The sequence below is a fragment of the Homo sapiens genome, chromosome 5, assembly GCF_000001405.40.
Source record: "Homo sapiens chromosome 5, GRCh38.p14 Primary Assembly".
NCBI classification, from domain to species: Eukaryota; Metazoa; Chordata; class Mammalia; order Primates; family Hominidae; genus Homo; species Homo sapiens.
In genome coordinates this window covers 50,131,057-50,154,767 of record NC_000005.10, presented here as the reverse complement: position 1 = coordinate 50,154,767, position 23,711 = coordinate 50,131,057, and the positions used below count along the sequence as shown (strand labels likewise).

The 23,711-nt window shown below is 38.7% G+C and overlaps 6 annotated features.

Annotated features, from left to right (window-relative positions):
• Nucleotides 13,022–13,861: an enhancer, noted in NCBI's record as "OCT4-NANOG-H3K27ac-H3K4me1 hESC enhancer chr5:49436741-49437580 (GRCh37/hg19 assembly coordinates)". NCBI's record gives its function as "activates a minimal SCP1, AML or CMV promoter by ChIP-STARR-seq in naive H9 embryonic stem cells {active_cell/tissue: H9 hESC(naive)}" and the evidence as "EXISTENCE:reporter gene assay evidence [ECO:0000049][PMID:30033119]".
• Nucleotides 16,380–17,219: an enhancer, noted in NCBI's record as "OCT4-NANOG-H3K27ac hESC enhancer chr5:49433383-49434222 (GRCh37/hg19 assembly coordinates)". NCBI's record gives its function as "activates a minimal SCP1, AML or CMV promoter by ChIP-STARR-seq in primed H9 embryonic stem cells {active_cell/tissue: H9 hESC(primed)}" and the evidence as "EXISTENCE:reporter gene assay evidence [ECO:0000049][PMID:30033119]".
• Nucleotides 17,220–18,059: an enhancer, noted in NCBI's record as "OCT4-NANOG-H3K27ac hESC enhancer chr5:49432543-49433382 (GRCh37/hg19 assembly coordinates)". NCBI's record gives its function as "activates a minimal SCP1, AML or CMV promoter by ChIP-STARR-seq in primed H9 embryonic stem cells {active_cell/tissue: H9 hESC(primed)}" and the evidence as "EXISTENCE:reporter gene assay evidence [ECO:0000049][PMID:30033119]".
• Nucleotides 18,060–18,899: an enhancer, noted in NCBI's record as "OCT4-NANOG-H3K27ac hESC enhancer chr5:49431703-49432542 (GRCh37/hg19 assembly coordinates)". NCBI's record gives its function as "activates a minimal SCP1, AML or CMV promoter by ChIP-STARR-seq in primed H9 embryonic stem cells {active_cell/tissue: H9 hESC(primed)}" and the evidence as "EXISTENCE:reporter gene assay evidence [ECO:0000049][PMID:30033119]".
• Nucleotides 20,579–21,417: an enhancer, noted in NCBI's record as "OCT4-NANOG-H3K27ac-H3K4me1 hESC enhancer chr5:49429185-49430023 (GRCh37/hg19 assembly coordinates)". NCBI's record gives its function as "activates a minimal SCP1, AML or CMV promoter by ChIP-STARR-seq in primed H9 embryonic stem cells {active_cell/tissue: H9 hESC(primed)}" and the evidence as "EXISTENCE:reporter gene assay evidence [ECO:0000049][PMID:30033119]".
• Nucleotides 21,418–22,258: an enhancer, noted in NCBI's record as "OCT4-NANOG-H3K27ac hESC enhancer chr5:49428344-49429184 (GRCh37/hg19 assembly coordinates)". NCBI's record gives its function as "activates a minimal SCP1, AML or CMV promoter by ChIP-STARR-seq in primed H9 embryonic stem cells {active_cell/tissue: H9 hESC(primed)}" and the evidence as "EXISTENCE:reporter gene assay evidence [ECO:0000049][PMID:30033119]".

The following is a 23,711-nucleotide window of genomic DNA, read 5'->3' as shown; positions in this document are numbered from 1 at the left end:
CTCCTTTGTACTATCTGCAGATGGATTCCTGTAGTGCTTTGAGGACTATAGCTGAAAATGAAATATTTTCACATAGAAACGAGACAGAAGCATTCTGAGAAACTTCTCTGGGATGTGTGAATTCATCTCACAGAGTTGAACCCTTCTTTTGATTGAGCGGTTTGGAAACACTCTTTTTGAAGGATCTGCAAGTGGATATTAGGAGTGCTTTGAAGCCTATTGTGAAAAAGGATATATCTTCACAGAAAAACTACACAGAAACATTCTGAGAATCTTCTTTGTGATGTGTGCATTCATCTCACGGAGTTAAAGATTTATTTTGATAGAGCAGTTTGGAAACAGTGTTTTTGTGGTATCTCCAAATGGATATTTGAAGGGGTTTGAGGCCTATGGTGGAAAAGGAAATATCCTCACAAAGAAACTAGACAGAAGCATTCTGAGAAACTTGTTTGTGATCTGTGCATTCATTTCACAGAGTTGAACATTTCTTTTCATTGAGCAGTTTTGAAACACTCTTTTTGTAGAGTGTCCAAGTGGATATTTTGAGTGCTTTGAGGCCTATGGTGGAAAAGGAAATATCTTCACATAAAAACTAGACAGAAGCATTCTGAGAAACTTCTTTGTGGTGTGTGCATTCACCTCACACAGTTGAACCTTTGTTTTGATTGAGCAGTTTCGAAACATACTTTTTGTAGAATCTGCAAGTGAATATTTGGAGCGATTTGAGGCCTTTTGTATAAAAGGAAATATCTTCACATGAAAACTACACAAAAGCATTCTGGGAAACTACTTTGCGATATGTGCATTTAACTCACAGAGTTGAATCTTTCTTTTGATTGCGCGTTTTGGAAACAGTGTTTTTGTGGTATCTGCAAAAGGATATTTGGAGAGGTTTGAGGCCTATGGTGTAAAAGGAAATATCCTCACATAAAAACTAGACAGAAGCATTCTGAGAAACTACTTTGTGTTGTACTCATTCAACTCACAGATTTGAACATTTGTTTTGGTTTAGCAGTTTGGAAACACTCTTTCTGTAGAATCTTCAAGTAGTTATTTGGAGCTCTTTGAGGCCTATGATGGAAAAGGGAAAATCTTCACATAAAAAATACAAAGAAGCATTCTGAGAAACTTCTTTGTGATTTTTGTGTTCAACTCACACAGGTGAACCTATCTTTTGATTGAGCAGTTTTTAAACTCTTTTTTTGCAGAATCTGTAAGTGGATATTTGGAGCACTTTTTGGCCTATGGAGGGAAAGGAAATATGGTTACATAAAAACTAGACAGAAGCATTCTGAGAAACTTCTTTGTGATGTATGCTTTCTTCTCACAGAGTTTAACCTTACTTTTTATTGAGCCTTTTTGAAACACTCTTTTTGTAGAATCTCCAAGTGGATATTTGGAGACCTTTGAGGCTTATGGTGGAAAAGGAAATACCTTCACATAAAAATTAGACAGAAGCATTTTGAGAAACCTCTCATTGATGTGTGCATTCATCTCACAGAGATGTACCTTTCTTTTGATGGTGCAGTTTGGAAACACTCTTTTTGTGGAAACTGCAATGTATATTTGCACTGATTTGAGGCCTATCGTGGAACAGGAAATATCTTCAAATAAAAACTAGACAGAAGCATTCTGAGAAACTTCTTTGTGATGTGCTCATTTATATCACAGAATTGAAACTTTCTTTTGATTCATCAGCTCTGAAACACTCTTTTTGTAGAATCTGCAAGTTGATATTTGGAGCGCTTGGAGGTCTTCAGTGGAAAAGGAAATATCTTCACATAAAAACTACATAGAAGCATTCTGAGAAACTTCTTGGTGATGTGGGAATTCACCTCAGAGAGTTGAACCTTTCTTTTGATTGAGCAGTTTTGAAACACACTTTTTGTAGAATCTGCAAGTTGATATTTGCATTGATTTGAGGACTATTATTGTGGAAAAGGAAATATCTTCACATAAAAACTACACAGAAGCATTCTGAGAAACTTCTTCATGATGTGTGAATTCATCTCACAGAGTTGAACCTTTCTTTTGATTGAGCAGTTTTGAAACACTCTTTTTGTGGAATCTCCAGTGGATATTTCAAGCCCTTTGCAGCCTATGATGGAAAAGGAAATATCTTCACATAAAAACTACACAGAAGCATTCTGAGAAAATTCTTTGTGATGTTTACATTCACCTCACAGAGTTGAACCATTCTTTTGATTGAGCAGTTTTGAAGCTCTCTTTTTGTACAATTTGCAAGTGGATATTTGGAGTGGTTTTGTGGCCACTTGTGGAAAAGGAAATATCTTCACATAAAAACTGCACAGAAATATCTGATAAACTTCTTCGTGATGTGTGCATTCAACTCACGGAGTTGAACCTTTCTTTTGATTGAGCAGTTTTGAAACACTCTTTTTGTTGAATCTGCAAGTGGATATTTGGAGCGCTTTGCTGCTTCTAGTGGAAAAGGAAATATCTTCACATAAAAAGTAGACAGAAGCATTCTGAGAAACTTCTTTGTGATGTGAGCATTCATCTCAAAGACTTGAATCTTTCTTTTCATTGAGCAGTTTTGAAACACTCTTTTTGTAGAATTTCCAAGTGGATATTTGCAGTGCTTTGAGGAATATGGTGGAAAAGGAAATATCTTCACATAAAAACTAGACAGAAGCATTCTGTGAAACTTCTTTTTGATGTGTGCATTCACCTCACAGTTGAAACTTTGTTTTGATTCAGCAGTTTTGAAACACTCTTTTTTATAATCTGCAAGTGGATATTTGGAGGGATTTGAGGCCTATCGTGGAAATGGACATATCTTCAAATAAAAACTACACAGAAGCATCATGAGAAACTTCATTATTATGGGTGCATTTATATCACAGTGTTGAAACTTTCTCTTTTATTATTATTATTATAGTTCAAGTTTTATGGTACATATGCATAATGTGCAGGTTAGTTACATGTGTATACATGTGCCATGCTGGCGTACTGCACTCATTAACTCGTCATTTAGCATTAGGTGTATTTCCTAATGCTATCCCTCCCCTCTCTCCCCACCCCTCAACAGTCCCCAGAGTGTGATGCTCCCCTTCCTGTGTCCATCTGTTCTCATTCTTCAATTCCCATCTATGAGTGAGAACATGTGGTGTTTGGTTTTTCATCCTTGTGATAGTTTACTGAGAATGATGATTTCCAATTTTATCCATGTCCCTACAAAGGACATGAACTCATCATTTCTTATGGCTACATAGTATTCCATGGTGTATATGTGCTATATTTTCTTAATCCAGTCTATCATTTTGGACTTTTGGTTGGGATGCAAGTCTTTGCTATTGTGAATAGTGCCGCAATAAACATACGTGTGCATGTGTCTTTATAGCAGCATGATTTATAGTCCTTTGGATATATACCCAGTAATGGGATGGCTGGGTCAAATGGTATTTCTAGTTCCAGATCCCTGAGGAATCACCACACTGACTTCCACAATGGTTGAACTAGTTTACAGTCCCACCAACAGTGTAAAAGTGTTCCTGTTTCTCCACACGCTCTCCAGCACCTGTTGTTTCCTGACTTTTTAATGATTGCCATTCTAACTGGTGTGAGATTGTGTCTCATTGTGTTTTTGATTTGCTGTGATGGCCAGCGATGGTGAGCATTTTTTTTCATGTGTTTTTTAGCTGCGTAAATGTCTTCTTTTGAGAAGTATCTGTTCATGTCCTTCACCCACGTTTTGATGGGGTTGTTTGTTTTTTTCTTATAAATTTGTTTGAGTTCATTGTAGATTCTGGATATTAGCCCTTTGTCAGATGAGTAGGTTGCAAAAACTTTCTCCCAATTTGTAGGTTGCCTGTTGACTCTGATGGTAGTTTCTTTTGCTGTGCAGAAGATCTTTAGTTTAATTAGATCTCATTTGTCAATTTTGGCTTTTATTGCCATTGCATTTGGTGTTTTAGACATGAAGTCCTTGCCCATGCCTATGTCCTGAATGATAATGCCTAGGTTTTCTAATAGGGTTTTTATGGTTTTAAGTCTAACGTTTAAGTCTTTAAAACATCTTGAATTATTTTTTGTATAATGTGTAAGGAAGGGATCCAGTTTCAGCTTTCTACATATGGCTAGCCAGTTTTCCCAGCACCATTTATTAAATAGGGAATCCTTTCCCCATTGCTTGTTTTTCTCAGGTTTGTCAAAGATCAGATAGTTGTAGCTATGTGGTGTTTTTTCTGAGGGCTCTGTTCTCTTCCATTGATCTATATCTCTGTTTTGATAGCAGTACCATGCTGTTTTGGTTACTGTAGCCTTGTAGTATAGTTTGAAGTCAGGTAGTGTGATGCCTCCAGCTTTGTTCTTTTGGCTTAGGATTGATTTGGGGATGCGGGCTCTTTTTTGGTTGCACATGAACTTTAAAGTAGTTTTTTCCAATTCTGTGAACACAGTCATTGGTAGTTTGATGGGGATGGCTTTGAATCTATAAATTACCTTGGGCAGTATGCCTTTTTTCATGGTATTTATTCTTTCTACCCTTTCTTCCATTTCTTTGTATCTTCTTTTATTTCATTGAGCAGTGGTTTGTAATTCTCCTTGAAGTGGTCCTTCACGTCCCTTGTAAGTTGGATTCCTAGGTATTTAACTCTCTTTGAAGCAATTATGAATGGGAGTTCACTCATGATTTGGCTCTCTGTTTGTCTGTTATTGGTGTATAAGAATGCTTGTGATTTTTGTACATTGATTTTGTATCCTGAGACTTTGCTGAAGTTGCTTATCAGCTTAAGGAGATTTTGGGCTGAGACAATGGGGTTTTCTAGATATACAATCACGTCGTCTGCAAACACGGACAATTTGACTTCCTCTTTTCATAGTTGCATACCCTTTATTTCCTTCTCCTGCCTAATTGCCCTGGCCAGAACTTCCAACACTATGTTGAATAGGAGTGGTGAGAGAGGGCATCCCTCTCTTGTGCCAGTTTTCAAAGGGAATGCTTGCAGTTTTTGTCCATTCAGTATGATATTGGCTGTGGGTTTGTCATAGATCACTCTTATTATTTTGAGATACGTCCCATCAATACCTAATTTATTGAGAGCTTTTAGCATGAAGGGTTGTTGAATTTGTCAAAGGCCTTTTCTGCATCTACTGAGATAATCATGTGGTTTTTGTCTTTGGTTCTGTTTATATGCTGGATTACATTTATTGATTTGCATATATTGAACCAGTCTTGCATCCCAGGGATGAAGCCTACTTGATCAGGATGGATAAGCTTTTTGATGTGCTACTGGATTTGTTTTGCCAGTTTTTTACTGAGAATTTTTGCCTCAATATTCTTCAACTATATTGGTCTAAAGTTCTCTTTTTTGGTTGTGTCTCTGCCTGGCTTTGGTATCAGGATGATGCTGGCCTCATAAAATGAGTTAGGGAGGATTCCCTCTTTTTCTATTGATTGGAATAGTTTCAGAAGGAATGGTACCAGTTCCTCCTTTTACCTCTGGTAGAATTCGGCTGTGAATCCATCTGGTCCTGCACTCTTTTTGGTTGGTAAGCTATTGATTATCGCCACAATTTCAGAGCCTGTTATTGGTGTATTCAGAGATTCAACTTCTTCCTGGTTTAGTGTTGGGAGGGTGTATGTGTCGAGGAATTTGTCAATTTCTTCTAGATTTTCTAGTTTATTTGCATAGAAATATTTGTAGTATTCTCTGATGGTAGCTTGTATTTCTGTGGGATCGGTGGTGATATCCCCTTTATCATTTTTTATTACATCTATGTGATTCTTCTCTCTTTTCTTCTTTATTAGTCTTGTTAGTGGTCTGTCAATTTTGTTGATCCTTTCAAAAAACCAGCTCCTCAATTCATTAATTTTTTGAATGGCTTTTTGTGTCTCTATTTCCTTCAGTTCTGCTCTGATTTTAGTTATGTCTTGCCTTCTGCTAGCTTTTGAATGTATTTATTCTTGCTTTTTTAGTTCTTTTAATTGTGTTGTTAGGGTGTCTATTTTGGATCTTTCCTGCTTTCTCTTGTGGGCATTTAGTGTTGTAAATTTCCATCTACACACTGCTTTGAATGTGTCCCAGAGATTCTGGTATGTTGTGTCTTTGTTCTCGTTGGTTTCAAAGAACATCTTTATTTCTGCCTTCATTTCGCTATGTACCCAGTAGTCATTCAGGCGCAGGTTGCTCAGTTTCCATTTAGTTGAGCAGTTTTGAGTGAGTTTCTTAATCCTGAGTTCTAGTTTGTTTGCACCGTGGTCTGAGAGACAATTTGTTATAATTTCTGTTCTTTTACATTTGCTGAGGAGAGCTTTACTTCCAAGTATGTGGTCAATTTTGGAATAAGTGTGGTGTGGTGCTGAAGGAAAAGTATATTCTGTTGATTTGTGGTGGAGAGTCCTTTAGATGTCCATTAGGTCACTTGGTGCAGAGCCAAGTTCAATTCCTGGATATCCCTGTTAACTTTCTGTCTCAATGATCTGTCTATTGTTGACAGTGGGGTGTTAAAGTCTCCCATTATTAATGTGTGGGAGTCTAAGTCTCTTGTAGTTCACTCATAACTTGCTTCATGAATCTGGGTGCTGCTGTATTGGTTGCATATATATTTAGGATAGTTAGCTCTTCTTGTTGAATTGATCCCTTTACCATTATGTAATGGCCTTCTTGGTCTCTTTGGATCTTTATTGGCTTAAAGTCTGTTTTATCACAGACTAGGATTGCAACCCCTGCCTTTTTTGTTTTCCATTTGCTTGGTAGATCTTCCTCCATCCTTTTATTTTGAGCCTATGTGTGTCTCTGCACATGAGATGGGTTCCCTGAATACAGCACACTGATGGGTCTTGTCTCTTTATCCAATTTGCCAGTCTGTGTCTTTTAATTGGAGCACTTAGTCCATTTACATTTAAAGTTAATATTGTTATGTGTGAATTTGATCCTGTCATTCTGATGTTAGCTAGTTATTTTGCTCGTTAGTTGATGCAGTTTCTTCCTAGTCTCCATGGTCTTTACATTTTGGTGTGATTTTGAAGCAGCTGGTACTGGTTGTTGCTTTCCATGTTTAGTGCTTCCTTCAGGAGCTCTTCTAGGGCAGGCCTGGTGGTGACAAAATCTCTCAGCATTTGCTTGTCTGTAAAATATTTTATTTATCCTTCATTATGAAGCTTAGTTTGGCTGGATGTGAAATTCTGGGTTGAAAATTATTTTCTTTAAGAATTTTGGCCAGGCACAGTGGCTCACGCCTGTAATCCCAGCACTTGGGAGACAAAGGCGGGTGTATCACGAGGTCAGGAGATTGAGACCATCCTGGCTAACATGGTAAAACCCTGTCACTACTAAATATACAAAAAATTTACAGGGCTTGGTGGCGGGTGCCTGTATACCAGCTACTCGGGAGGCTGAGGCAGGAGAATGCCATGAACCTAGGAGGTGGAGCTTGCAGTGAGCCCAGATCGCTCCCCCATGCTCCAGACTGGGAGACAGAGTGAGACTCCGTCTCAAAAAAAAAAAAAAATGTTGAATATTGGTCCCCACTATCCTCTGGCTTGTAGAGTTTCTGCCAAACGATCCGCTGTTATTCTGATGGACTTCCCTTTGTGGGTAACCCGACCTTTCTCTCTGGCTGCCCTTAATATTTTTTCCTTCATTTCAACTTTTGTGAATCTGACAATTATTTGTCTTGGAGTTGCCCTTCTCGAGGAGTATCTTTGTGGCATTCTCTGTATTTCCTGAATGTGAATGTCAGCCTGCCTTGCTAGATTGGGGAAGCTCTCCTGGATAATATCCTGCAGAGTGTTTTCCAACTTGGTTCCATTCTCCTGGTCACTGTCAGGTACACCAATCAGACGCAGATTTGGTCTTTTCACATAGTCCCATATTTCTTGGAGGCTTTGTTTGTTTCTTTTTATTATTTTTTCTCTAAACTTCCCTTCTCACTTCATTTCATTCATTTCATCTTCCATCACTGATACCCTTTCTTCCAGTGGATCACATTGGCTCCTGAGGCTTCTGCATTCTTCACATAATTCTCGAGCCTTGGTTTTCTGCCCCTTCAGCTCCTTTAAGCACTTCTCTGTATTGCTTATTCTATTTATACATTCGTCTAAATTTTTTTCAAAGTTTTTAACTGCTTTGCCTTTGGTTTGAATTTCCTCCTGTAGCTTGGAGTAGTTTGATCATCTGAAGCCTTCTTCTCTCAACTCATCAAAGACATTCTCCATCCAGCTTTGCTCTGTTGCTGGTGAGGAACTGTGATCCTTTGGAGAAGGAGAGGCATTCTGCTTTTATCAGTGTCCAGTTTTTCTGCTCTGTTTTTTCCCCATCTTTGTGGTTTTATCTACTTTTGGTCCTTGATGATGGTGATGTACATATGGATTTTTGGTGTGGATGTCCTTTCTATTTGTTAGTTTTCCTTCTAACAGACAGGACCCTCAGCTGCATGTCTGTTGAAGTTTGCTTGAGGTCCACTCCAGACCCTGTTTGTCTGAGTATCAGCAGCGGTGGCTGCAGAACAGCAGATTTTTGTGAACCAAATATGCTGCTGTCTGATTGTTCCTCCCGAAGTTTTGTCTCAGAGGAGTATCCGGTAGTGTGAGGTTTCAGTCTGCCCCTACTGGGGGATGCCTCCCAGTTAGGCTGCCTGGGGGTCCAGGGTCAGGGAATCACTTGAGGAGTCCAGTCTGCCGATTATCAGATCTGCAGCTGCATGCTGGGAGAAGAACTGCTCTCTTCAAAGCTGTCAGACAGGGACATGTAAGTCTGCAGAGGTTACTGCTGTCTTTTGTTTGTCTGTGCCTTACCCCCAGAGGTGGAGTCTATACAGGAATGCAGGTCCCTTTGAGCTATGGTGGTCTCCCCCCAGTTCGTGCTTCCCAGTTGCTTTCTTTACCTAAGCACGACTGGGCTATGCCAGGTGACCATCCCCCAGCCTCGCTGCCACATTGCAGTTTGATTTCAGACTGCTGTGCTAGAAATCAGCGATACTCCAAGGGCATAGGACCCTCCGAGCCAGAGGGTACTTTGAACCCAGAGAGATGAACCTTTCCTTTGATAGAGCAGTTTTGAAACGTGTTTTTGTAAGATCTGCAAGCGGATAATTGGCTTCGCGTTGTGTCCTTTGGTGGAAACGGGAATATCTTCTAATAAAAACTAGACAGAAATATTCTCAGAATCTTCTTTGTGATGTGGGCATTCAACTAACAACGTTGAACATTTCTTTTCACAGAGCAGTTTTGAAAGACTCTTTTGGTAGAATCTGCCAGTGGATATTTGGAGCGCTTTGAAAGCTATAGTGCCAACGGAAATATCTTCCCCTAAAATCTAGACAGAAGCATTCTCAGAAACTGCTTTGTGATGTTTGCATTCAACTCACAGAGGTGAACATACCTCTTCATAGAGCAGTTTTGAAAACCTCTTTTTGTAGAATCTATAAGTGGATATTCGGACCACTTTGAGGTCTTCATAGGAAACAGTAATATCTTCACATAAAAACTAGATAGAAGTATTGTCAGAAAGTTCTTTGTGATGTGTGAATTCAACTCACAGAGTTGAACCTTCCTTTAATAGAGCAGTTTTGAAACACTCTTTTTCTAGAATCTGCAAGTAGATATTTGGAGCGCTTTGAGGCCTTCGTTGGAAACTGGAATATCTTCACATAAAAAGTAGATAGAGGCATTCTCAGAAACTTTTTTGTGATATGTAGATTCAACTCACAGCGTTGAACCTTTCTTTTGATAGAGCAGTTTTGAAAAACTCTTTTATCGAATCTGCAAGTAGACATTTGGAGTGCTTTGAGGGCTGTGGTGCAAAAGGAAATGTCTTCCCATAGAAACTAGACTGAAGCATTCTCAGCAACTTCTTTGTGACGTTTGCATTCATCTCACAGTGTTGAACATACCTTTCCATAGAGTAGTTTTGAAACACTATTTTTGTAGAATCTGCAAGTGGATATTTGGACTGCTTTGAGGCCTTCATCGGAAACGGCAATATCTTCACATAAACACTAGACAGAAGCATTCTCAGAAACTTCTTTGTGATCTGTCCATTCAACTCACAGAGTTGAAACTTCCTTTTTATGGAGCAGTTTTGAAACACTGTTTTTGGAGAATCTGCAAGTGGATATTTGGAGAGATTTGAGGCCTATGGTAGAAAAAGGAATATCTACCTCTAAAAACTAGACAGAAGCATTCTGAGAAACTTCTTTGTGATGTTTGCATTCAACTACCAGAGTTGAACCTTCCTTTTGATAGGGCAGTTTGGAAACACTCTTTTTGTAGAATCTGCATGTGGATATCTGGAGCGATTTGAGGCCTACGGTCAAAAAGGAAATATCTTCCTGGGAAAAATAGACGAAAGCATTCTCAGAAACTGCTTTGTGATATGTGCATTCGACTCACCGAGTTGAAACTTTTTTTTTGATAGAGCAGTTTTGAAAAACTCTATAGATTCTGAAAGTGCATATTTGGAGCTCTTTGAGGGCTATGGCGGAAAAGAAAATATATTCACATTAAACTAGACAGCAGCATTCTCAGAAACTTCTTTAGGATGTTTGCAGTAAACTCACAGAGTTGAACATACCTTTCCATAGAGCAGTTTTGAAACACTCTGTTTGTGGGATCCGCAAGTGGATATTTGGACCGCTTTGAGACCTATGCTGGAAATGGGAATATCTTCACATATAAACTAGACAGAAGCATTCTCAGAAACTTCTTCGTGATGTGTGCATTCTACCCCCAAATTTGAATCTTCCTTTTCATGAAGCAGTTTTGAAACACTCTATTTGTGCAATCTACAATGGGATAATTGGAACGCTTTGATGCCCATGGTAGAAAAGGAAATATCCTCATATAAAAACTAGACAGAAGGATTCACAGAAAATGCTTTGTGATGTGTGCATTCAAATCACGGAGTTGAATCTTTCTTTTATTAGAGCAGTTTTGAAACACTCTATTTGTGCAATCTACAATTGGATAATTGGAACCCTTTGATGCCCATGGTAGAAAATGAAATATCCTCATATAAAAACTAGACGGAAGCATTCACAGAAAATGCTTTTTGATGTGTGCATTCAAATCACGGAGTTGAATCTTTCTTTTGTTAGAGCAGTTTTGAAACACTGTTTCTGTGGAATCTGCCAGCGGACACTTGGAGCGCTTTGAGGGCTATGGTGGAGAAGGAAATATCTTCACATAAAAACTAGAAAGAAGCATTCTCGGAAACATTTATGTGAAGCGTGCATTCAACTCACAGAGTTGAACCTTTCTTTTGATAGAACAGTTTTGAAACACTCTTTTGAACAATTGCAGGTGAATCTTTGGAGCGCTTTGAAGGCTTTGTTGGAAATGGGAATATCTTCACACACAAACTAGCCAGAAGCATTCTCAGAAACTTCTTTGTGATGTGTGCGTTGAACCCAGAGAGATGAAACTTTCCTTTGATAGAGCAGTTTTGAAACGTGTTTTTGTAAGATCTGCAAGCGGATAATTGGCTTCGCTTTGTGTCCTTTGGTGGAAACGGGAATATCTTCTAATAAAATCTAGACAGAAATATTCTCAGAATCTTCTTTGTGATGTGGGCATTCAACTAACACAGTTGAACATTTCTTTTCACAGAACAGTTTTGAAACACTCTTTTGAACAATTGCAGGTGAATCTTTGGAGCGCTTTGAAGCCTTTGTTGGAAATAGGAATATATTCACACACAAACTAGCCAGAAGCATTCTCAGAAACTTCTTTGTGATGTGTGCGTTGAACCCAGAGAGATGAACCTTTCCTTTGATAGAGCTGTTTTGAAACGTGTTTTTCTAACATCTGCAAGCGGATAATTGGCTTCGCGTTGTGTCCTTTGGTGGAAACGGGAATATCTTCTAATAAAAACTAGACAGAAATATTCTCAGAATCTTCTTTGTGATGTGGGCATTCAACTAACACAGTTGAACATTTCTTTTCACAGAGCAGTTTTGAAAGACTCTTTTGGTAGAATCTGCCAGTGGATATTTGGAGCGCTTTGAGGGTTATTGTGCCAATGGAAATATATTCCCCTAAAAACTAGACAGAAGCATTCTCAGAAACTGCTTTGTGATGTTTGCATTCAACTCACAGAGGTGAACATACCTCTTCATAGAGCAGTTTTGCAAACCTCTTTTTGTAGAATCTGCAAGTGGATATTCGGACCACTTTGAGGCCTTCATAGGAAACAGTAATATCTTCACATAAAAACTAGATAGAAGCATTGTCAGAAAGTTCTTTGTGATGTGTGAATTCAACTCACAGAGTTGAACCTTCCTTTAATAGAGCAGTTTTGAAACACTCTTTTTCTAGAATCTGCAAGTAGATATTTGGAGCGCTTTGAGGCCTTCGTTGGAAACCGGAATATCTTCACACAAAAAGTAGATAGAGGCATTCTCAGAAACTTTTTTGTGATATGTAGATTCAACTCACAGCGTTGAACCTTTCTTTAGATAGAGCAGTTTTGAAAAACTCTTTTATCGAATCTGCATGTAGACATTTGGAGTGCATTAAGGGCTGTGGTGCAAAAGGAAATGTCTTCCCATAGAAACTAGACTGAAGCATTCTCAGCAACTTCTTTATGACGTTTGCATTCATCTCACAGTGTTGAACATACCTTTCCATAGAGTAGTTTTGAAACACTATTTTTATAGAATCTGCAAGTGGATATTTGGACTGCTCTGAGGCCTTCATCGGAAACGGGAATATCTTCACATAAACACTAGACAGAAGCATTCTCAGAAACTTCTTTGTGATCTGTCCATTCAACTCACAGAGTTGAACCTTCCTTTTTATGGAGCAGTTTTGAAACACTGTTTTTGGAGAATCTGCAAGTAGATATTTGGAGCGCTTTGTGGCCTATGGTAGAAAAAGAAATATCTGCCTATAACAACTAGACAGAAGCATTCTGAGAAACTTCTTTGTGATGTTTGCATTCAACTACCAGAGTTGAACCTTCCTTTTGATAGGGCAGTTTGGAAACACTCTTTTTCTAGAATCTGCATGTGGATATCTGGAGCGATTTGAGGCCTATTGTCAAAAAGGAAATATCTTCCTGGGAAAAATAGACGAAAGCATTCTCAGAAACTGCTTTGTGATATGTGCATTCGACTCACCGATTTGAAACTTTTTTTTGATAGAGCAGTTTTGAAACACTCTGTAGAATCTGAAAGTGGATATTTGGAGCTCTTTGAGGGCTATGGCGGAAAAGAAAATATATTCACATTAAACTAGACAGCAGCATTCTCAGAAACTTCTTTAGGATGTTTACAGTAAACTCACAGAGTTGAACATACCTTTCCGTAGAGCAGTTTTGAAACACTCTGTTTGTGGGATCCGCAAGTGGATATTTGGACCGCTTTGAGACCTTTGCTGGAAATGGGAATATCTTCACATATAAACTAGACAGAAGCATTCTCAGAAACTTCTCCGTGATGTGTGCATTCTACTCCCAAATTTGAATCTTCCTTTTCATGAAGCAGTTTTGAAACACTCTGTTTGTGCAATCTACAATGGGATAATTGGAACGCTTTGATGCCCATGGTAGAAAATGAAATATCCTCATATAAAAACTAGACGGAAGCATTCACAGAAAATGCTTTGTGATGTGTGCATTCAAATCACGGAGTTGAATCTTTCTTTTGTTAGAGCACTTTTGAAACACTGTTTCTGTGGAATCTGCCAGCGGACACTTGGAGCGCTTTGAGGGCTATGGTGGAGAAGGAAATATCTTCACACAAAAACTAGAAAGAAGCATTCTCGGAAACATTTATGTGAAGCGTGCATTCAACTCACAGAGTTGAACCTTTCTTTTGATAGAACAGTTTTGAAACACTCTTTTGAACAATTGCAGGTGAATCTTTGGAGCGCTTTGAAGCCTTTGTTGGAAATGGGAATATCTTCACACACAAACTAGCCAGAAGCATTCTCAGAAACTTCTTTGTGATGTGTGCGTTGAACCCAGAGAGATGAACCTTTCCTTTGATAGAGCAGTTTTGAAACGTGTTTTTGTAAGATCTGCAAGCGGATAATTGGCTTCGCTTTGTGTCCTTTGGTGGAAACGGGAATATCTTCTAATAAAAACTAGACAGAAATATTCTCAGAATCTTCTCTGTGATGTGGGCATTCAACTAACACAGTTGAACATTTCTTTTCACAGAACAGTTTTGAAACACTCTTTTGAACAATTGCAGGTGAATCTTTGGAGCGCTTTGAAGCCTTTGTTGGAAATAGGAATATATTCACACACAAACTAGCCAGAAGCATTCTCAGAAACTTCTTTGTGATGTGTGCATTGAACCCAGAGAGATGAACCTTTCCTTTGATAGAGCTGTTTTGAAACGTGTTTTTCTAACATCTGCAAGCGGATAATTGGCTTCGCGTTGTGTCCTTTGGTGGAAACGGGAATATCTTGTAATAAAAACTAGACAGAAATATTCTCAGAATCTTCTTTGTGATGTGGGCATTCAGCTAACACAGTTGAACATTTCTTTTCACAGAGCAGTTTTGAAAGACTCTTTTGGTAGAATCTGCCAGTGGATATTTGGAGCGCTTTGAGGGCTATTGTGCCAATGGAAATATCTTCCCCTAAAAACTAGACAGAAGCATTCTCAGAAACTGCTTTGTGATGTTTGCATTCAACTCACAGAGGTGAACATACCTCTTCATAGAGCAGTTTTGCAAACCTCTTTTTGTAGAATCTGCAAGTGGATATTCGGACCACTTTGAGGCCTTCATAGGAAAGAGTAATATCTTCACATAAAAACTAGATAGAAGCATTGTCAGAAAGTTCTTTGTGATGTGTGAATTCAACTCACAGAGTTGAACCTTCCTTTAATAGAGCAGTTTAGAAACACTCTTTTTCTAGAATCTGCAAGTAGATATTTGGAGCGCTTTGAGGCCTTCGTTGGAATCCGGAATATCTTCACATAAAAAGTAGATAGAGGCATTCTCAGAAACTTTTTTGTGATATGTAGATTCAACTCACAGCGTTGAACCTTTCTTTTGATAGAGCAGTTTTGAAAAACTCTTTTATCGAATCTGCATGTGGACATTTGGAGTGCTTTGAGGGCTGTGGTGCAAAAGGAAATGTCTTCACATAGAAACTAGACTGAAGCATTCTCAGCAACTTCTTTGTGACGTTTGCATTCATCTCACAGTGTTGAACATACCTTTCCATAGAGTAGTTTTGAAACACTATTTTTGTAGAATCTGCAAGTGGATATTTGGACTGCTCTGAGGCCTTCATCGGAAACGGGAATATCTTCACATAAACACTAGACAGAAGCATTCTCAGAAACTTCTTTGTGATCTGTCCATTCAACTCACAGAGTTGAACCTTCCTTTTTATGGAGCAGTTTTGAAACACTGTTTTTGGAGAATCTGCAAGTAGATATTTGGAGCGCTTTGTGGCCTATGGTAGAAAAAGAAATATCTGCCTATAACAGCTAGACAGAAGCATTCTGAGAAACTTCTTTGTGATGTTTGCATTCAACTACCAGAGTTGAACCTTCCTTTTGATAGGGCAGTTTGGAAACACTCTTTTTGTAGAATCTGCATGTGGATATCTGGAGCGATTTGAGGCCTATGGTCAAAAAGGAAATAACTTCCTGGGAAAAATAGACGAAAGCATTCTCAGAAACTGCTTTGTGATATGTGCATTCGACTCTCCGAGTTGAAACTTTTTTTGGATAGAGCAGTTTTGAAACACTCTGTAGGATCTGAAAGTGGATATTTGGAGCTCTTTGAGGGCTATGGCGGAAAAGAAAATATATTCACATTAAACTAGACAGCAGCACTCCCAGAAACTTCTTTAGGATGTTTACAGTAAACTCACAGAGTTGAACATACCTTTCTGTAGAGCAGTTTTGAAACACTCTGTTTGCGGGATCCGCAAGTGGATATTTGGACCGCTTTGAGACCTTTGCTGGAAATGGGAATATCTTCACATATGAACTAGACAGAAGCATTCTCAGAAACTTCTTCGTGATGTGTGCATTCTACTCCCAAATTTGAATCTTCCTTTTCATGAAGCAGTTTTGAAACACTCTATTTGTCCAATCTACAATGGGATAATTGGAACGCTTTGATGCCCATGGTAGAAAAGGAAATATCCTCATATAAAAACTAGACAGAAGGATTCACAGAAAATGCTTTGTGATGTGTGCATTCAAATCACGGAGTTGAATCTTTCTTTTGTTAGAGCAGTTTTGAAACACTGTTTCTGTGGAATCTGCCAGCGGACACTTGGAGCGCTTTGAGGGCTATGGTGGAGAAGCAAATATCTTCACATAAAAACTAGAAAGAAGCATTCTCGGAAACATTTATGTGAAGCGTGCATTCAACTCACAGAGTTGAACCTTTCTTTTGAGAGAACAGTTTTGAAACACTCTTTTGAACAATTGCAGGTGAATCTTTGGAGTGCTTTGAAGGCTTTGTTGGAAATGGGAATATCTTCACACACAAACTAGCCAGAAGCATTCTCAGAAACTTCTTTGTGATGTGTGCGTTGAACCCAGAGAGATGAACCTTTCCTTTGATAGAGCAGTTTTGAAACGTGTTTTTGTAAGATCTGCAAGCGGATAATTGGCTTCGCTTTGTGTCCTTTGGTGGAAACGGGAATATCTTCTAATAAAAACTAGACAGAAATATTCTCAGAATCTTCTTTGTGATGTGGGCATTCAACTAACACAGTTGAACATTTCTTTTCACAGAACAGTTTTGAAACACTCTTTTGAACAATTGCAGGAGAATCTTGGAGCGCTTTGAAGGCTTTGTTGGAAATGGGAATATCTTCAAACACACAAACTAGCCAGAAGCATTCTCAGAAACTTCTTTGTGATGTGTGCGTTGAACCCAGAGAGATGAACCTTTCCTTTGATAGAGCAGTTTTGAAACGTGTTTTTCTAACATCTGCAAGCGGATAATTGGCTTCGCTTTGTGTCCTTTGGTGGAAACGGGAATATCTTCTAATAAAAACTAGACAGAAATATTCTCAGAATCTTCTTTGTGATGTGGGCATTCAACTAACACAGTTGAACATTTCTTTTCACAGAGCAGTTTTGAAAGACTCTTTTGGTAGAATCTGCCAGTGGATATTTGGAGCGCTTTGAGGGCTATTGTGCCAATGGAAATATCTTCCCCTAAAAACTAGACAGAAGCATTCTCAGAAACTGCTTTGTGATGTTTGCATTCAACTCACAGAGGTGAACATACCTCTTCATAGAGCAGTTTTGCAAACCTCTTTTTGTAGAATCTGCAAGTGGATATTCGGACCACTTTGAGGCCTTCATAGGAAACAGTAATATCTTCACATAAAAACTAGATAGAAGCATTGTCAGCAAGTTCTTTGTGATGTGTGAATTCAACTCACAGAGTTGAACCTTCCTTTAATAGAGCAGTTTTGAAACACTCTTTTTCTAGAATCTGCAAGTAGATATTTGGAGCGCATTGAGGCCTTCGTTGGAAACCGGAATATCTTCACACAAAAAGTAGATAGAGGCATTCTCAGAAACTTTTTTGTGATATGTAGATTCAACTCACAGCGTTGAACCTTTCTTTTGATAGAGCAGTTTTGAAAAACTCTTTTATCGAATCTGCATGTAGACATTTGGAGTGCTTTGAGGGCTGTGGTGTAAAAGGAAATGTCTTCCCATAGAAACTAGACTGAAGCATTCTCAGCAACTTCTTTGTGACGTTTGCATTCATCTCACAGTGTTGAACATACCTTTCCATAGAGTAGATTTGAAACACTATTTTTGTAGAATCTGCAAGTGGATATTTGGACTGCTTTGAGGCCTCCATCGGAAACGGGAATATATTCACATAAACACTAGACAGAAGCATTCTCAGAAACTTCTTTGTGATCTGTCCATTCAACTCACAGAGTTGAACCTTCCTTTTTATGGAGCAGTTTTGAAACACTGTTTTTGGAGAATCTTCAAGTAGATATTTGGAGCGCTTTGTGGCCTATGGTAGAAAAAGAAATATCTGCCTATAACAACTAGACAGAAGCATTCTGAGAAACTTCTTTGTGATGTTTGCATTCAACTACCTTAGTTGAACCTTCCTTTTGATAGGGCAGTTTGGAAACACTCTTTTTGTAGAATCTGCATGTGGATATCTGGAGCGATTTGAGGCCTATGGTCAAAAAGGAAATATCTTCCTGGGAAAAATAGACGAAAGCATTCTCAGAAACTGCTTTGTGATATGTGCATTCGACTCACCGATTTGAAACTTTTTTTTGATAGAGCAGTTTTGAAACACTCTGTAGAAACTGAAAGTGGATATTAGGAGCTCTTTGAGGGTTATGGCGGAAAAGAAAATATATTCACATTAAACTAGACAGCAGCACTCTCAGAAACTTCTTTAGGATGTTTACAGTAAACTCACAGAGTTGAACATACCTTTCCGTAGAGCAGTTTTGAAACACTCTGTTTGTGGGATCCGCAAGTGGATATTTGGACCGCTTTGAGACCTTTGCTGGAAATGGGAATATCTTCACATATAAACTAGACAGAAGCATTCTCAGAAACTTCTTCGTGATGTGTGCATTCTACTCCCAAATTTGAATCTTCCTTTTCATGAAGCAGTTTTGAAACACTCTATTTGTCCAATCTACAATGGGATAATTGGAACGCTTTGATGCCCATGGTAGAAAAGGAAATATCCTCATATAAAAACTAGACAGAAGGATTCACAGAAAATGCTTTGTGATGTGTGCATTCAAATCATGGAGTTGAATCTTTCTTTTGTTAGAGCAGTTTTGAAACACTGTTTCTGTGGAATCTGCCAGTGGACACTTGGAGCGCTTTGAGGGCTATGGTGGAGAAGGAAATATCTTCCCATAAAAACTAGAAAGAAGCATTCTCGGAAACATTTATGTGAAGCGTGCATTCAACTCACAGAGTTGAACCTTTCTTTTGAGAGAACAGTTTTGAAACACTCTTTTGAACAATTGCAGGTGAATCTTTGGAGCGCTTTGAAGCCTTTGTTGGAAATGGGAATATCTTCACACACAAACTAGCCAGAAGCATTCTCAGAAACTTCTTTGTGATGTGTGCGTTGAACCCAGAGAGATGAACCTTTCCTTTGATAGAGCAGTTTTGAAACGTGTTTTTGTAAGATCTGCAAGCGGATAATTGGCTTCGCTTTGTGTCCTTTGGTGGAAACGGGAATATCTTCTAATAAAAACTAGACAGAAATATTCTCAGAATCTTCTTTGTGATGTGGGCATTCAACTAACACAGTTGAACATTTCTTTTCACAGAACAGTTTTGAAACACTCTTTTGAACAATTGCAGGTGAATCTTTGGAGCGCTTTGAAGCCTTTGTTGGAAATAGGAATATATTCACACACAAACTAGCCAGAAGCATTCTCAGAAACTTCTTTGTGATGTGTGCGTTGAACCCAGAGAGATGAACCTTTCCTTTGATAGAGCTGTTTTGAAACGTGTTTTCCTCACATCTGCAAGCAGATAATTGGCTTCGCGTTGTGTCCTTTGGTGGAAACGGGAATATCTTCTAATAAAAACTAGACAGAAATATTCTCAGAATCTTCTTTGTGATGTGGGCATTCAACTAACACAGTTGAACATTTCTTTTCACAGAGCAGTTTTGAAAGACTCTTTTGGTAGAATCTGCCAGTGGATATTTTGAGCGCTTTGAGGGCTATTGTGCCAATGGAAATATCTTCCCCTAAAAACTAGACAGAAACATTCTCAGAAACTGCTTTGTGATGTTTGCATTCAACTCACACAGGTGAACATACCTCTTCATAGAGCAGTTTTGCAAACCTCTTTTTGTAGAATCTGCAAGTGGATATTCGGACCACTTTGAGGCCTTCATAGGAAACAGTAATATCTTCACATAAAAACTAGACAGAAGCATTGTCAGAAAGTTCTTTGTGATGTGTGAATTCAACTCACAGAGTTGAACCTTCCTTTAATAGAGCAGTTTTGAAACACTCTTTTTCTAGAATCTGCAAGTAGATATTTGGAGCGCATTGAGGCCTTCGTTGGAAACCGGAATATCTTCACATAAAAAGTAGATAGAGGCATTCTCAGAAACTTTTTTGTGATATGTAGATTCAACTCACAGCTTTGAACCTTTCTTTTGATAGAGCAGTTTTGAAAAACTCTTTTATCGAATCTGCATGTAGACATTTGGAGTGCTTTGAGGGCTGTGGTGCAAAAGGAAATGTCTTCCCATAGAAACTAGACTGAAGCATTCTCAGCAACTTCTTTGTGACGTTTGCATTCATCTCACAGTGTTGAACATACCTTTCCATAGAGTAGTTTTGAAACACTATTTTTGTAGAATCTGCAAGTGGATATTTGGACTGCTTTGAGGCCTAAATCGGAAACGGGAATATCTTCACATAAACACTAGACAGAAGCATTCTCAGAAACTTCTTTGTGATCTGTCCATTCAACTCACAGAGTTGAACCTTCCTTTTTATGGAGCAGTTTTGAAACACTGTTTTTGGAGAATCTTCAAGTGGATATTTGGAGCGCTTTGTGGCCTATGGTAGAAAAAGAAATATCTGCCTATAACAACTAGACAGAAGCATTCTGAGAAACTTCTTTGTGATGTTTGCATTCAACTACCAGAGTTGAACCTTCCTTTTGATAGGGCAGTTTGGAAACACTCTTTTTGTAGAATCTGCATGTGGATATCTGGAGCGATTTGAGGCCTACGGTCAAAAAGGAAATATCTTCCTGGGAGAAATAGACGAAAGCATTCTCAGAAACTGCTTTGTGATATGTGCATTCGACTCACCGAGTTGAAACTTTTTTTTGATAGAGCAGTTTTGAAACACTCTGTAGAAACTGAAAGTGGATATTAGGAGCTCTTTGAGGGTTATGGCGGAAAAGAAAATATATTCACATTAAACTAGACAGCAGCACTCTCAGAAACTTCTTTAGGATGTTTACAGTAAACTCACAGAGTTGAACATACCTTTCCGTAGAGCAGTTTTGAAACACTCTGTTTGTGGGATCCGCAAGTGGATATTTGGACCGCTTTGAGACCTTTGCTGGAAATGGGAATATCTTCACATATAAACTAGACAGAAGCATTCTCAGAAACTTCTTCGTGATGTGTGCATTCTACTCCCAAATTTGAATCTTCCTTTTCATGAAGCAGTTTTGAAACACTCTATTTGTCCAATCTACAATGGGATAATTGGAACGCTTTGATGCCCATGGTAGAAAAGGAAATATCCTCATATAAAAACTAGACAGAAGGATTCACAGAAAATGCTTTGTGATGTGTGCATTCAAATCATGGAGTTGAATCTTTCTTTTGTTAGAGCAGTTTTGAAACACTGTTTCTGTGGAATCTGCCAGCGGACACTTGGAGCGCTTTGAGGGCTATGGTGGAGAAGGAAATATCTTCACATAAAAACTAGAAAGAAGCATTCTCGGAAACATTTATGTGAAGCGTGCCTTCAACTCACAGAGTTGAACCTTCCTTTTGATAGAACAGTTTTGAAACACTCTTTTGAACAATTGCAGGTGAATCTTTGGAGCGCTTTGAAGCCTTTGTTGGAAATGGGAATATCTTCACACACAAACTAGCCAGAAGCATTCTCAGAAACTTCTTTGTGATGTGTGCGTTGAACCCAGAGAGATGAACCTTTCCTTTGATAGAGCAGTTTTGAAACGTGTTTTTGTAAGGTCTGCAAGCGGATAATGGGCTTCGCTTTGTGTCCTTTGGTGGAAACGGGAATATCTTCTAATAAAAACTAGACAGAAATATTCTCACAATCGTCTTTGTGATGTGGGCATTCAACTAACACAGTTGAACATTTCTTTTCACAGAGCAGTTTTGAAACACTCTTTTGCTAGAATCTGCCAGTGGATACTTGGAGCGCTTTGAGGGCTATTGTGCCAATGGAGATATCTTCCCCTAAAAACTAGACAGAAGCATTCTCAGAAACTACTTTGTGATGTTTGCATTCAACTCACAGAGTTGAACATACCTCTTCATAGAGCAGTTTTGAAAACCTCTTTTTGTAGAATCTGCAAGTGGATATTCGGACCACTTTGAGGCCTTCATAGGAAACAGTAATACCTTCACATAAAAACTAGATAGAAGCATTGTCAGAAAGTTCTTTGTGATGTGTGAATTCAACTCACAGAGTTGAACCTTCCTTTAATAGAGCAGTTTTGAAACACTCTTCTTCTAGAATCTGCAAGTAGATATTTGGAGCGCTTTGAGGCCTTTGTTGGAAACCGGAATATCTTCACAGAAAAAGTAGATAGAGGCATTCTCAGAAACTTTTTTGTGATATGTTGATTCATCTGACAGCGTTGAACCTTTCTTTTGATAGAGCAGTTTTGAAAAACTCTTTTGTCGAATCTGCAAGTAGACATTTGGAGTGCTTTGAGGGCTGTGGTGCCAAAGGAAATGTCTTCCCATGGAAACTAGACTGAAGCATTCTCAGCAACTTCTTTGTGACGTTTGCATTCATCTCACAGTGTTGAACATACCTTTCCATAGAGTAGTTTTGAGACACTATTTTTGTAGAATCTGCAAGTGGATATTTGGACTGCTTTGAGGCCTTCATCGGAGACGGGAATATCTTCACATAAACACTAGGCAGAAGCATTCTCAGAAACTACTTTGTGATCTGTCCATTCAACTCACAGAGTTGAACCTTCCTTTTTATGGAGCAGTTTTGAAACACTGTTTTTGGAGAATCTGCAAGTGGATATTTAGAGCGCTTTGAGGCCTATGGTAGAAAAAGAAATATCTGCCTCTAAAAACTAGACAGAAGCATTCTGAGAAACTTCTTTGTGATGTTTGCATTCAACTACCAGAGTTGAATCTTCCTTTTGATAGGGCAGTTTGGAAACACTCTTTTTGTAGAATCTGCATGTGGATATCTGGAGCGATTTGAGGCCTATGGTCAAAAAGGAAATATCTTCCTGGGAAAAATAGACGAAAGCATTCTCAGAAACTGCTTTGTGATATGTGCATTCGACTCACCGAGTTGAAACATTTTTTTGATAGAGCAGTTTTGAAACACTCTGTAGAATCTGAAAGTGGATATTTGGAGCTCTTTGAGGGCTATGGCGGAAAAGAAAATATATTCACATTAAACTAGACAGCAGCATTCTCAGAAACTTCTTTAGGATGTCTGCAGTAAACTCACAGAGTTGAACATACCTTTCCGTAGAGCAGTTTTGAAACACTCTGTTTGTGGGATCCGCAAGTGGATATTTGGACAGCTTTGAGATCTTTGCTGGAAATGGGAATATCTTCACATATAAACTAGACAGAAGCATTCTCAGAAACTTCTTCGTGATGTGTGCATTCTACTCCCAAATTTGAATCTTCCTTCTCATGAAGCAGTTTTGAAACACTCTATTTGTGCAATCTACAATTGGATAATTGGAACCCTTTGATGCCCATGGTAGAAAAGGAAATATCCTCATATAAAAACTAGACAGAAGGATTCACAGAAAATGCTTTGTGATGTGTGCATTCAAATCACGGAGTTGAATCTTTCTTTTGTTAGAGCAGTTTTGAAACACTGTTTCTGTGGAATCTGCCAGCGGACACTTGGAGCGCTTTGAGGGCTATGGTGGAGAAGGAAACATCTTCCCATAAAAACTAGAAAGAAGCATTCTCGGAAACATTTATGTGAAGCGTGCCTTCAACTCACAGAGTTGAACCTTCCTTTTGATAGAACAGTTTTGAAACACTCTTTTGAACAATTGCAGGTGAATCTTTGGAG